The 13,636-nt window shown below is 41.9% G+C and overlaps 1 protein-coding gene across 8 annotated transcripts in view, besides 1 other annotated feature; it reads left to right on the top strand.

Moving 5' to 3' along the window:
• PARD3 (par-3 family cell polarity regulator) overlaps window positions 1–13,636 on the top strand; it is a 705,736-nt gene that overhangs the window by 623,562 nt on the left and 68,538 nt on the right. The gene's annotated exons all lie outside the window — the stretch shown is intronic.
• Window positions 8,088–8,804: an enhancer, noted in NCBI's record as "H3K27ac hESC enhancer chr10:34471859-34472575 (GRCh37/hg19 assembly coordinates)". NCBI's record gives its function as "activates a minimal SCP1, AML or CMV promoter by ChIP-STARR-seq in naive H9 embryonic stem cells {active_cell/tissue: H9 hESC(naive)}" and the evidence as "EXISTENCE:reporter gene assay evidence [ECO:0000049][PMID:30033119]".

Here is a 13,636-nt window from a genome sequence, read left to right as displayed (position 1 = left end):
GGGCCAGGAATCCTTCTGAATCAATGCCAGACTTCTTTCATCCTCCCTCCCCCTAGGCTCCCAGACCCCATCTTCACCCCCACCCCCACCCCCAAGGCTGAAGCACAGACCAAACCATGCAGGACTGTGAATTGAAAAGCATCTTCTGGCTGGTGACATCTGTTTCCAAATATCCAGCAAGTCTACTTAGGTTTAATCAGAAGGGTCACAGTTGGTGTTTCCTCCTTGGGCCAGGAGATTTTTCTCCTATGGGACTTGGGCCTGATGCCTTCCAGTCAATTAGAGCTCCTCTCCCTCTTTGATTCGTTGATACTTTCAGTGGCTGCCTCTCAGCCAGTGACTGGTTGGGTTAGTGATTCCTCTACTTATAGCACAGACTACATCTAGCTGCCCACTTCCTGGATACCCCACATTCACCATAGTCGACATATTCCAAAATCAGCTCTATAACTTTCCTCTATAGTGGCTTATTCTCCGCTCTAAATCTCTCCTGGTTAATGATGCCATTATCAGCCCTCTTCTCCTTGCAAATTGCCAATGCTATCACTAGGCCATTTTTATTTCTTACCTGAGTTTATGCAGTAGCCTCCTAGCTGCTCTCCCATCTCATCACACACTTCCTCACTCCTTTCTCCACACCGTTGATGAAACAGCTTTTTCTTAAAACACAAATCTCACATAACATTTCCTGATTAAAGCCTTTCTGATGCTCCCTTGTTAAGTTTTTTCCTGTCTTAAGGGGTCTGGGCTCTATCTAACATTGCACTCATATGTCTCCTCTCCTCCCCGCATTCCACACACCAGCCTAGTTGAACTACAGGACCCGCGAGATGCCATGCTGCCATTTATATTTTTGTGCCTTTGCATATGCTGTTTTCTCTGCTCCTCCCCACCGGCATCCTCCAAGTTGGCCTGGAAAACTCCTACTCACTTTCCTACTCCTCAGAGAGTTTTTTCTTTTCTCACCCTCCCAGGCTGAATTTGTCACGCTCTCTTTTGTTGCATTCCCGGCCTCTGGTTACAGCATTTATCATGCAGTACACTGAAGAGTTGTTTCCTGGTGTATCTCCCATTTAGGCCATGGGCTCCCAAGGGCAGAAATTGTGTTGGGTGAGAAGGTGCCCAGAGATAAGACTACGGCAGTGTTTCTCAAACTTTGTGGCCCCAGGATCCCTTTACACTCTTAAAAACTGTTGAGAACCTCAAAGGGCATTTAGTTTATTATTTGGGTAAATATCTGTTGATATTTCCCACTGAAATGTAAACTGGGAAATTTAAAAATCATTTATTCCTTCAAAATGAACAATAATGAACTTATTAAGTATTATTATAAAATACATTTTATATAAATAACTGTGCAGAATAAAAAATTGTAAGACCAGTGGCATTGTCTTAGATTTTTAGAAATTTCTTTGTGTCTGGCTTATGAAGGGAAGACAACAAGATCCTCCTATTTGCTCCTTTAGTCAGTCTGATTCATTGTGTTGTTTAATGTCTGTGAAGACAATACAATCTAATTGCAGATATTTTTCTGGATCAAAACTTGACAAGTGGTAGTTTCTTACTAGTTATTGTAATGTGAAACCTAAAACCTTAGGGAACTTTTCTTACAGCTACCTTAAAACCGCTCATCTCTCTTGCACCTCCAATAGCCCTTTTGCCCATGAATGTTTTACTTATACCATGCATTGGTCACTTGGAAAATGTGAGACCACTGAGTTATGCAAATCCTCCAACAGATGGTACACTCTGTCATACAATAAAAAAAGATAACAGAAATCTTAATTATGCAACCATCAAAGTCATGATGGTAGACAGAAGTTTTCCAAAGTTCTGATTTTCACTTGAAAGCTCAAATTTTATCATTGGCAACAAATACTGTCAGTGGTTTTCCTCAAAGGGATAGGCTCATTTTGCTCATTTTCAAGAAAATGGCTTTTTAAATGCCTAAGTCTGAATAACAGGTTTTTGTCAGTTGTCCTTTTTTGGGAAAAGTGGTGTTCTGTGAAGCAGGTGGCTAGTTCAGCTCACAACTCAATTGCACAGGTGCTTTTCCTTGAGACAAACATCATACTTCAGTAGGTCATGGAAACATGTACTTGCCTTCTCATAACAGACTATTTAAAAGATACTTACTCAGGATCAGGATTTACCAAATTAATACTTACTGCCTCATCCAGGGCATGCCTAAGTGATGCTGGCATTGATTTTCCTTCAAGTGCTCAGAGGGGCAAATGCAGTGACCACTAGTATCGTTTGGTGACACTGGCTGCCTTGATCTGTGCCAAGTTGCCAGCTGTTTTGCCCCCTCCCCTATGGCGTTTGCACCACCAACAAAGTGTTAACCCCATAAAGAAGGAAAGAAATGTCTTAGCAGCATTTTTAAAATTTATTTTTATTTTTGTAATGTAGAGTCTTGCTCTGTTACCCAGGCTGCAGTGCAGTGGCACTGTTATGGCTCACTGCATCCTCCAGCTCCTGGGCTCAAGGGCTCCTCCCCTCACCTCAGCCTCACAAGTAGCTGGGGACCATGCCCAGGTTATTTATTATTTTTATTTTTATTTTTGTAGAGACAGGGTCTTTCTATGTTGCCCAGGCTTGTCTTGAGCTCTTGGCCTCAGGCAACCCTCCCACCTCAGCCTCCCAAAGCACTGAGATTACAGGCATGAACCATGGCTCCCAGCCAAGAAATGTCTTAGTATTTTTATCAAATACTTTTGACCTCGTAAAACCTCTGGAAGGATCTTGTAGACCCCTAGGAGTCCATAGACCACACTTTGGGAGCCATGGGACTGACTGGAGTGAAGCAGAGGCCCCTCATACCAGGTTGCAGAGTCCATGCTGTGTTGGGAAGGGTGTGGGGGGAGAAGTGCTGTGGTCAGATTTGTTTCTTGGAATGACCATGGTGGCAAGAGAGTGGAGCAGTGGAGCATCTTCTGGGGAGTTGGAAAATTGGAACTGAACATCATTGCTGGAAAAAAAAAAAGCGATTTTAAGTTGCCATATGAATATAGGATGATTATGTAAGCCCCAAATTCTTCAACCCTTTGGAGTGATGTTTTCATTCCAAATCACATTCAAGTGTGTGAAACTAGGTTGAAGTATTTTCTGGTATTATTTCAGAATAGTATTATTTCTATTCTGTGAATGAATTTGGGTGTGTGTGCACATGTGTCGGTGTACGTAAAGCTTGTATGTGCATGTACCGTTGGCTGGTGGGTATCCTGGGCAATTCTTTTCTGGCCCAGGTTGTCTTTGTGTTTTGTCATCAGAAGTGCATTCCTTAGACTCTGCATGTTATCCTGGATCATAAGTAAAAAACGTTTGTTTACCCTAAAGACCTCCCACTCAGTGGAAGCGTGGGAGACACATTCCTGAGTTAAAAAGGTCTAGATCAATATAATATTCAGAAGTAATTGCAAGTGATTCTAACCAACCCAGCAGTGCTTACTTAGGACTGTGTTCAAGAGCCTCCTTGCCTCTTTGTTGATCTCTTTAAATACCAAACAAAAGACAATGAATCTTCCAACTCAGGCGATTCCATTGTGATTGATCTGAGCCAATTTTTTGAGGTAATTGATGATATTGCCTTAGTTGAGTCTGTTAGTGCAAATAATTATTAATCAATATGCTCTCAGCTCTTAGTTCAGAAGATAATTCTAACACATGATTTATGCTGAACATTTCAATTGAGCTACCTTTACAAGAGGAAAATCAATTGGCGAGTGTTCTAAAGCACTTTAATTATCTGCAGCTCCACGTTCCTCCGCAGCCATATTTACCCAGACAGCTAGTTGTCCCATCCTAGAAAGGGTCACAGGAAGTTTTTCATCGCCACGGTAGAGAGATAGTATATCGTTCATCTTAGATTGACTATGTTGGTTTAAAGTAATTTAGTGGAATACCTTAAAATCAAAGCATTGCTGCTTTCCTTTGGAGAGCATAATTAACATTGCCCAGGAAAAAGAAGGAACGTGTTACTGATCTCCATTCAGTTGGAAAACAGTTTGCCAATGTGGATAGTGAATGTCATGTAAGTCAATTTAGCCGTAAAACGTGAGGAGATCTGAATCACAGAAAGGAGGTTAAGGTGTAAAACATTTTAGGGGCTAAATTTACATCACTCCCCTAAACTGTTGTTTAGATTCTTTGTGACTTCCTTGTGCTAAGGCTTTCTAGCATGGAATTTGTTGTTTTTCCCTTTTAGACAATGTCTTGATGAATATTGTGGTTTGATTTTTCCCCCCTGTGAGAGGAGATGCAGAAGAAATTAATCACCACTAGGAATGGGCCTGCCTTTGTTCAAAGTGGAGCTTCCAAGCATCTGTTTTTGTTGTACTTGTGGTGGGTACAGGAATGTGTGGGCTCTGGCCTGGGACTTTTGGACATGTTTATAACAGATGGAAATTTTAAATGACAGTTCCCTGCATTGTCATGGTGGAGCCACTTCAATAGCACTGAGATGCTCTGTTATACTTCTTGCCCAGTACTCTGTCTCTTGCTGCTATTAAAGCATCTCTAAATGGTAAAACGTGAAGGCATTTGGCAGCTTTCAAGGGCAGTTCTTTAACGTCTCCACTCTCTACCCCCATGTACCCCTGGGACCCCCAAAACTTGGACCCAAGACTTCACGTAGCAATAAACTGAAACACCACTCATTGTTCACAGCTGGGCCAGTGCTGGGGCTCCAGAAGGTAATGCTCTTAAGCACTGAATTGTGAGTTCATACTATCAATTAAACAGCAGGAGAGAGGAAAGGGAGGTTTTGACTTGGGATTTTTGAGGAGCGAATTCAGTAGGCATTTTTGGAATGCCTGGCTTGGAGCTAGCTCTACAGGGAAGACCAAGAAAAATGAAGCCCTGCTTTTGCCTTTAGGAAGTCACAGTCCTGTTGGGAAGGGTTGGAGTGGAGAGGGGAGACCTCAGCCATTAAGAATACAGGAGAGAGGGGCTGACACCAGAAGGTCTGTGGGCAGAGACAGACGGCTGAGTCCTTGGCACCCAGGGAAGAGGAAGGAGAGGCTGACGGGTCACAGGATGGCATCTTACATGGCCTTTTGAGGTTGCCACTGCTTATGTCCTCCTCCTGTTCCCCAACTGCTCCCCTCATTCTTCCCTGGGAATGGTAGCTTACTCTGGGCTCATCAGAGGGAAAACAAGAAACTGTGATACATAAATTCTGCAACTGGTTGTGGTCCTGGTGATGACTTCTTCCAGAATGGCTCTCTCAGTCCAACAGTGAGGTGAGATTGAGGGTCGGAACCATTAGGGTACAATGGTCCAAATTCCAGCCTGCACCTGAAAATCCCAGTGTTTGGGAATCTGATTGGGGAGCATCCTGGAGGCAGGCTGGGTTTCTTTTTTTTTTTTTTTTTTTAAGAGGGTCTCATTCTGTCACCCAGGCTGGAGTGCAGTGGTGCAATCATAGCCCGCTACAGCCTTGAACTCCTGGGCTCAAGCCATCTCTCCACCTCTGCCTTCCAGAGTGCTGGGATTACAGGCGTGAGCTACCCCGTCCGGCTTTAGGGCTGGGTTTTGAGGAAGTTGTGTCCTCGTGGCCTGAGCTTTCCTTTTCTTCCTGCATCTCCTCCCCTATGTGATGCCTCCCCCCTGCTCGTTGTTTGGGTTGCAGGGTGAGAGAGAGAACCTTCTCCAAGTCCTGACTGCTCCCTGGGCCCAAGTTCAGGCTGAGCTCCTTCACTGGCCCTGCAATTTTACACATGCCGCTCAACTCCTTGGAAACAAAGGTTTCCTCTCTGTAAGATGAAGGTGATACGTAACCCCTGGGGTTGTGAGAATTAAAGGAGGCACATTTTAAAGCACTTTTTAAACTGTAAAACTCTGCAATATAATGTGTAATATGGATATTCCTATGCAAATATAATATAATATAATATAATATAATATAATATAATATAATATAGAAGATGTTACTGTGTTCAGTTTTATTATTTTACCTGGCTGCCTACTCAGGGTCCTGTGATGTTCTCTGTAACTGCTCTAGTTCAGAAATGAAGCCTCGAGTAGGAGGTGTGGGCACTGCCTGCCCTGGCTTCTTTCTACCAAAGTGACTTAGATGTCTTGGAGCTAAAACATGAGAGGCAAAAAATATCTTAAAGATAAATGCCGTGTCTGTGTTGCATATAAAATTCAATAAATATCCAGTAACTGTTGAGATATGAGCCCATGAACAGAAAAAAGAAAAAAAATCCAGTAAATGAAGGAATTACTTTAAAAGATTTCAGTCTTTTCCTTTTGTCTTTTTCTGTTTTTAATATACATGAAGACTAATTTAAAGACCCTTTTCTCTTTTTAAGTATGTTTGGAGATCTGTATGACAAATTGGCTCCTAACATTGTATAATACTAATGACAGGATATGAAAGACAGCATTCTTTAGGACAAAGGAATGCAGTTTTCAAAGACCAATAAAAGTTGGCAAAGAAATTTGCAGATCAGGACCCAGGACAATGCTTACATAACCTCTCAACTGTTTTTCCAGGTTTGAAGTGCAAATAACAGAGATAAAGACAGAAACTACACATGTAAACTTGATATATTAATAGCTCATCCAATCTACATAACAAAATAAACCAGGGGTCTAGGCCCTAAAAGTGATAGCCGTGGTGTTAGATTTCTGGGCCTCCTTTATTCCAGGGGATGGGGCTCTGACAGGTGAAACACAGCATTTGTTTAAACAGAATAGAGAAAGTCTGCAAAACATTCAAGGGCAGGAAGTAGCAATAAATACTCCTCTGTGCAACTGAAGCAGCACAGAGCTTGGGGTGAGCAGAATGTCATCACTCAAAGTAGAATTTGGCCAGGGCCTCCCAGGGTCCCACCAAGGGATGCAGTGAACTTTCTAAAAGTCAAGACCTCTGTCTTATCTCCTCCAAAAGATGAGAAAGTGAGATGTGAAGCTCCTTTCTGGAGATGGGATATGTTTTTCATGGTAGGTTCTGATCTCTTTTGCAGGCTTTGAGCATAAGAACCAAGGGCACAAAAATAGCTCCTTGAGGGAAAAAAAAAAAAAAAAACCGAAAGGCCTGGAACACAGGATGATGTGCAGGCGTTGGTGAGCTGGGGTTGTAAATCGACAATCCCTTGAACAGAGGAAGACCTAGTTAAAGAGACTTTGGTTTTCTTATAAGGCATGAATAAACGCTCTGGGCAGTCTGCCCCATTGGAAAACAGAATAATGCTAATAATTTGCATTTATATAATACCCCCCGGCTTGTGGATCTACAAGCACTTTGCAAACATTAATTAATTCTCTAAACCCCCTATGAGCCAGGGGGTGCCATCAGTAACTAATCACGAAGGAGGGCAAGTGATTCTTGACAGAGTGGATATGCAAGTTAGAGAACACTGCGAGCTTGGGAGCTGAAGAGGTTGAGTGGAATTTTTATGAGAAAGAACAACCAAGGTAGAATGTTGATCAGACTGTGTGGGAAACAAACCTGGATATTATGACCATAGGTGAAGGCTATCAACTAACAATTCAGTTCCTCTCCTGTTGTTCGCCTCTTCATTTTCAAAGCTCTGCTTATACTTGGTCGGAAACCTCAGTGTGAAGGTCTGGATTCAGTTCACTATTCCCAGTATAAAAGGATGTGCAGACTGAGCACAGTGGCTCACACCTGTAATCCTAGCACTTCAGGAGGCAGAGGCAGATGGGTTGCTTGAGCCTAGGAGTTAGAGACCAGCCTGGGCAACACAGCAGAAACCCTGTCTCTACAAAAAATACAAAAATTAGCCAGCCATGATGGCGCACACCTATAGTCTCAGCTACCCAGGAGGCTGAAGTTGGAGTGATATGGCTCCGATGACTGGAGGAACCCCAGGGTTCTTGGTTTCATGCCGATAGGATTAACGACACGTACATACGTGGAGTGGTTTTAAGGAGGGCAAAGTTTAATAGGCAAGCAAGAAAGAAGAGAACAGCTCCCCCATACAGAGAAAAGGGAGGGGGGCTTGGAACAAAGAGAAACCCAGTGTGCGGCAGAAAAGTGGTTGCTTATATTGGGATGCTGGAGGAGACGGTGTGTTATTTACGTAGCCCCGTGAAAACCTGGCCCTCCCACCTTAGACTTTTAATATGCAAATGCAGACGCCATGATGTTTTGAACACATGGTGTTATCCGCAGGTGGCCATGACACTTGGTACACCTGGTGAGAAGAGGGCGGGAATCACCATGTTGGCCGTGTTAGGTAGACCCAGTTTCTACTCGCCTGCATTTGTGTATTAAAGCTTGCCAGCCTGGCTCTTCAAGCTGCCTTTCTGTTAGAAAAGAAACAGTTTGGAGGTTGCTTTTATTAAACGAAAAACCCTTATCAAGAAGTCCTTTTACCCTTTCTATCTGCCTAAAAATTATTTCTTAATAACTCCTGTATTAGGAGGATCACCCGAGCCCAGGGAGGTGGAGGCTGTGGTGAGCTGTGATCACCCCGCTGCACTCCAGTCTGGGCGACAGAGCAAGACCCTGTCTCAAAAAGATATGCAGCAGCTGGATCATACTAGAAATCAGTATTTCTGTTGCTGTGTTAATAGTCAGTTCAGAGATTCATTCATGCGTTGACTTATTCACTCAGTCACTGCTTTATTTGACAGATAGGAGTTTTTGAGTTCTTGCTCCCCGTTAGACTTGGGGGTTATCCCCCAAAGGCTTATATATGAGAAAAGCAATTCCCTGCTCTTGGTCTAGTGGCTCAGTGATACTTTCTTTCTTCTCTATCATGTATTTTTTGTTTCCCCAGTCTGCTTATCTGACATAGATGTTAGGATAATTGAAATGTTTTTGCAATGTTGATGTAATTTATGAGTAAACATTGCTGTATATATTTGAATTTCTGATGAGAAAGACACTATGCACAGAGGAGAGTAATGACCTGGCGTAAGAGAACCCATTTACACCAATAGTTACGTCTCACTAAATCGGGCCTGTTAGATTAAAGGACTGTTGGTATTCATGACTTTTTTTTTTTTTTTTTTTAAGAAATGTAGTTTGAAGCTAAACCAACAAAGTGCCACTTATTGGTGGTACTGAGGGAGTTTGCATTTACTGAATAGATAAGATTTGTTCGTGATCTTTTGGCTGATATCACAATGGAACAGATAGGTTACTTTTCAGGTCCTCAAAAGTTGGATATACCAGGTGTTTTCCGAAATTGATTCTCATTCTTGTAGATGTCCCAAAAATTCAAGTAATTTGCACAATAAACCTGTATAAATTAGTAGAAAAGCCAATTTCACTTTAGCTCTAAGTGGTAGGAATCAATGGTATATGAATTCTTGAGATGTTTTTATGTACACACACATACATCTCTACTAAAGTGTAAGTCAGATGAAGTGGATCTTTTTTTGTTAAATCATTTTTATGTTACTTTCGAGTTAACTAGTATATGTAGAGAAATCTATGTGTAAAGAAGTATCAATATTTCTCTTCAAGTATTTTGAACTCTAGGACAGATGATGCTAATGAGGCCCGTCCTTGCTGGAGCTGCCTGTCAGAACAGCAAGGTAGGCATGGCCTGGGGCAGGGGAGCTCTGTCTGGTCTGTGGACCATCAATCCAGCGCTCGGACTCCTCCTCCCAGCAAGACAAGCACTTTCTTTCAGGCTGCTGCCAGCTGGTTTTGCTGTGCGGTAGTGTTAAGCTTTCCAGATTGAAAACATCTGGCTTTTCATCAGCGGTATAGACTCAGAAAGAGAGCAGTGTTAGCCGAAGTAAATTCAACAAATTCTTATCTGACACGTTCGGTTTATCCTAATGTGATAAACTGGGGCAGTCTCTGAGGATGAGTCCTGTTTCCAACTGTGCACCTTTTCCCTCTATCCTTACCCTGTCCTTGGAAGAATCTTGATGTTAAAATTTGGGACTGTGTCTTTGTTGGAGGCATCAGATGCACTGTCGGTAGCGATTTCTGAAAGTCCAGAGAGTCATTTGCATAGAGGTCAAACACAATATTTCCTGCAGGAACTTCCTGAATGATGAAGTTTCAGAGCAATCCCATGTAACCAGATGTCAGCAGGTTCCAAAAAGATGACTGGCTACCTGTTGCTGTTACAAGCAGGAGACCTCTAGTGTTAACTAATTTCAGAGGAAATTTGTAAATATTAAGAATAGAAAACTGTGTATGTATCTACTCAACACATATTGAGAAAATGACAGATTGTGGTGATGTGACACTTTGGGTTGTATCTGCCTTTTGAAAGCATCCTTTATGTTTTCTCACTCATTTCTTCTACAGCACTTTATATGGCTTGGTAGGGAAATTCTGAGACTAAAAATTAATATCATCATCCCTCTGAGTTTTTGCATATGAATGCTTTTCAACTTGCAAACTGGTCGTTATACAGATACGTATTTTTGAACAGTGATTTACAAACCCAACTTTTGTTAACTGGATCATAGCTTCCCACTGAGTTAAGGCTTCAGAGCTGGCTGATCAGTGTTTATGGTTGGTCTGGTGTTGTCATTGGTCTTTGCACTTTAGTTTGAAGTACCTCAAGAAGTTAATGACCTGTTAAAAGAAAATCCACTACAGAATATTCTCCTTAAAAGATACAGGTGTAAGCCAGGAATATTTATATTGTGGTAGCAGTAATGTTGCACAGGTATAGTGTGTCAGTTGTACATCAGCACAACAGTCTATCAAGATGGTAGTAATTAGCCCCATGTTACATTAAGGCTCAGAGAGGTAAAGTAGCTCACCTCAGGACACACAGCTAGTCATAAGTACCTGTGTTTGTTGCTCCCCTGGTGACCAAAAATATTGGGCTTTGCTCCTGTTCCACAAGCGCATTGGGTGTTGCTCCAGGGCCTTTGCACTTGCTGTGTCTTCTGTTTGCAGTTCTGTTTTCTCATGTTAAAGAAGTCCTTTTTGTCATTTAGAACTCAACTCCCCTCTCTTTAGAGAGCTCAAGCAGGCCAGCACTTAGACTCCTCCTCCCAGCAAGACACGAGGGCAGTTGTTTCCTTAGATTCCCATTGATTTAGATTTTCCACAAATTTGCACAAAACTTTATAAATTAGTAGAAAAGCCAATTTCAGTAGTCTAGCTTTTTCCAAGTTGTAGGAATTAATGGTATGTGAATTTTTGAGGTTTTTATGTTCACACATGTATGTTTCTACTACAGTATGAGTCAAATGAAATGGTTTAATAATTTTTTCATGTGTTAAATCATTTTTATGTTCTTCTCAAGTTATGACCATGCTGTCACAGCAAAATGGTGTCTCAAACCCACTCAAGAGAGACTCCTTCCTGCAGTTACCTAGAACCAGCCTGTCTCATCTCTCCGCCTCCATTATTGCTATCCTGTATTAATAAGGAGTTTTATAAACAGTGTAATTTGGATTGTTTGCAACTCAATGGAAAAATGCTTGAAGGGGTCCAGGCGCATTGGCTCATGCCTGTAATCCCAACACTTTGGGTGGCTGAGGCAGGCGGATCATGAGGTGAGGAGACCGAGACCATCCTGGCCAACATGGTGAAACCCCGTCTCTACTAAAAACACAAAATTAGCCAGGCGTGGTGGCGGGTGCCTGTAATCCCAGCTACTCAGGAGGCTGAGGCAGGAGAATCGCTTGAACCCGGGACGGGGAGGTTGCAGTGAGCTGAGATCGTGCCACTGCACTCCAGCCTGGGCGACAGAGCGAGACTCCGTCTCAAAAAAAAAACAAAAATGCTTGAAGGGATGGATACCCCACTCTTCATGAAGTGCTTATGTCACATTGCATGCCTGTATCAAAACATCTCATGTACCCCATAAATATATACCCCTACTATGCTCCCACAAAAATTAAAAATTAAAAAAAAAATAAGGCATTTTAACCACAGTCCCTCCTAAAGCACACCTGCTACCTGCACATGTGCCCTTTCTCCTCTTTTGCTTTTTCCTAAAGGACATGGTTGAGAAAACTGCTCTATTAAAATATAATATGGTTCAGTTTGGTGTATATTGTGATTATTTTATTTGCTTTTTTACCTTGGACTCAGTCTTCTCCTTTCATAAACCTGAATATGCATGTTGTGTAGCTTCGCTGGATTCAAATTAGATAATTTCATTTCAAACAGATACAGCCAAGCATATGGTATTTGGTATGAGTTGTGCAAAGAAAGTCAAGTTAGGTTATGAACAAGTGAGTTCTGAGTTTCTTTTTAGCGAAGGGACATTTATTTATCTTGGATTGTTACAGCGATTTTCTGGACTATTTTTCTGTAATTACCTTGATTAATATTTAAGTGGTATGTTTACATTTTGAGTTGATTTATATGAAGCTGTGCTTTTCCTCCACTGAAACACTCAGGTATCTCATATTACCATGATGATAGAAACCATTCTCTGCTCCTTGCTTTCCCAATAGAAGAATGGCAGTTTATCCACGGGTATTTGGAGAAGGAGCAGCATTCACACAGCAGAAATGTTCCACTGGAGGGCTATCCTTCCAGAGCCCCTTGCTAGTTATAGATACCTCCACTTAGGGCCTCTGTGACCTGCAATAAATTTAAAAATACAGTCTCTAAATTTTATATGTGTGTGTGTGTGTGTGTGTGTGTGTGTGTGCGCGCACGCACATGCGTGCTATAAATGAATTCCCTATATGCTATTTCTGTGTTAGAAGGACAGGGAGAAATATTGACGTCTTTTCTTCCTATTTTGGTATTTTCCCTTGCTTTCTTCTCTGCCTTCCTCAGTTCCCCTGGGAGGTGAGGCATTTGGGGCAGGGTCAGTGTGTTTGCCTGGTGGTCTGGGTGAACTTGCAGAGGCCGTCAGCCATGACTCAGCATCAAGTCCTGACACTAATTCTTGTTTCCTGTCACATCCTAACCAAGTCATTTATCTTCTTGGAACCTCAATTCCATCACTGGTAAGGCAGTTATGATAATACTCTGGGTCCTTGTTAAAGTTATGAAAGCATTCTATTAGGTGACCACTAAGCAAATTATGGGAAGTTAAAATTATTGTATCCATTATCACCAAATTGTTTTTTCTTTCTACCACAGAGCTTTCTTTCTTTCTTGGAGCTGGCAAATGTCTACTCCTTTGTAGGTCCCAAACCCTGTGCCTAAAGGTTTAGCATCTCTGTGATGAGTTTAATGGAGGCAGGACCAGTCTGTTCTCCGTTGTGATTGCAGATTTTGAGGAGCTATTTTGAGGAGGATCCAGGAGGTTTACTTTCTTATCCCTGTTTTTCCTTGGGATCAATTCTTACGCTAAAGGTCAATGTTTGTGAAACATGCTGTCCCTCCTGCATTTCTTTTTTGCCCAGGGACATTTAAAGTCATTATCTTGCCTTGAAAAGATTAAAAAATGTTGGCACCTCCGTCTTTGTGGTGCAAAGTGATCTTGGGCTGTTGACCAAGCTGACTTGATCCCTGGAATGTCTTGATCTAAATTCATCTTTTCTTTTGTTGCTGAAAGTTTAGGGTTTCCGCTTGCTGAAATTGGATTTATGAATAAAAGAAGCCAACTTTGCTGTAGGTAATTATGTCAGAGGCAAGTTCATCGGTGTCAGTGTTCATTTTATTAGAGAAGGCTTAGCTTATTCACAATGCATCTTTTATCCCCTTGTCTCTAATAAATGCATGATTTTCAGAGATTTGCAGCCAAAAGTGTGTTATTCCAATTAGGTT

This window comes from Homo sapiens, chromosome 10, assembly GCF_000001405.40.
Source record: "Homo sapiens chromosome 10, GRCh38.p14 Primary Assembly".
Classification (NCBI taxonomy): Eukaryota; Metazoa; Chordata; class Mammalia; order Primates; family Hominidae; genus Homo; species Homo sapiens.
The sequence above is the reverse complement of the archived record's forward strand: the minus strand, read 5'-3'. Positions and strand labels throughout refer to the sequence as shown.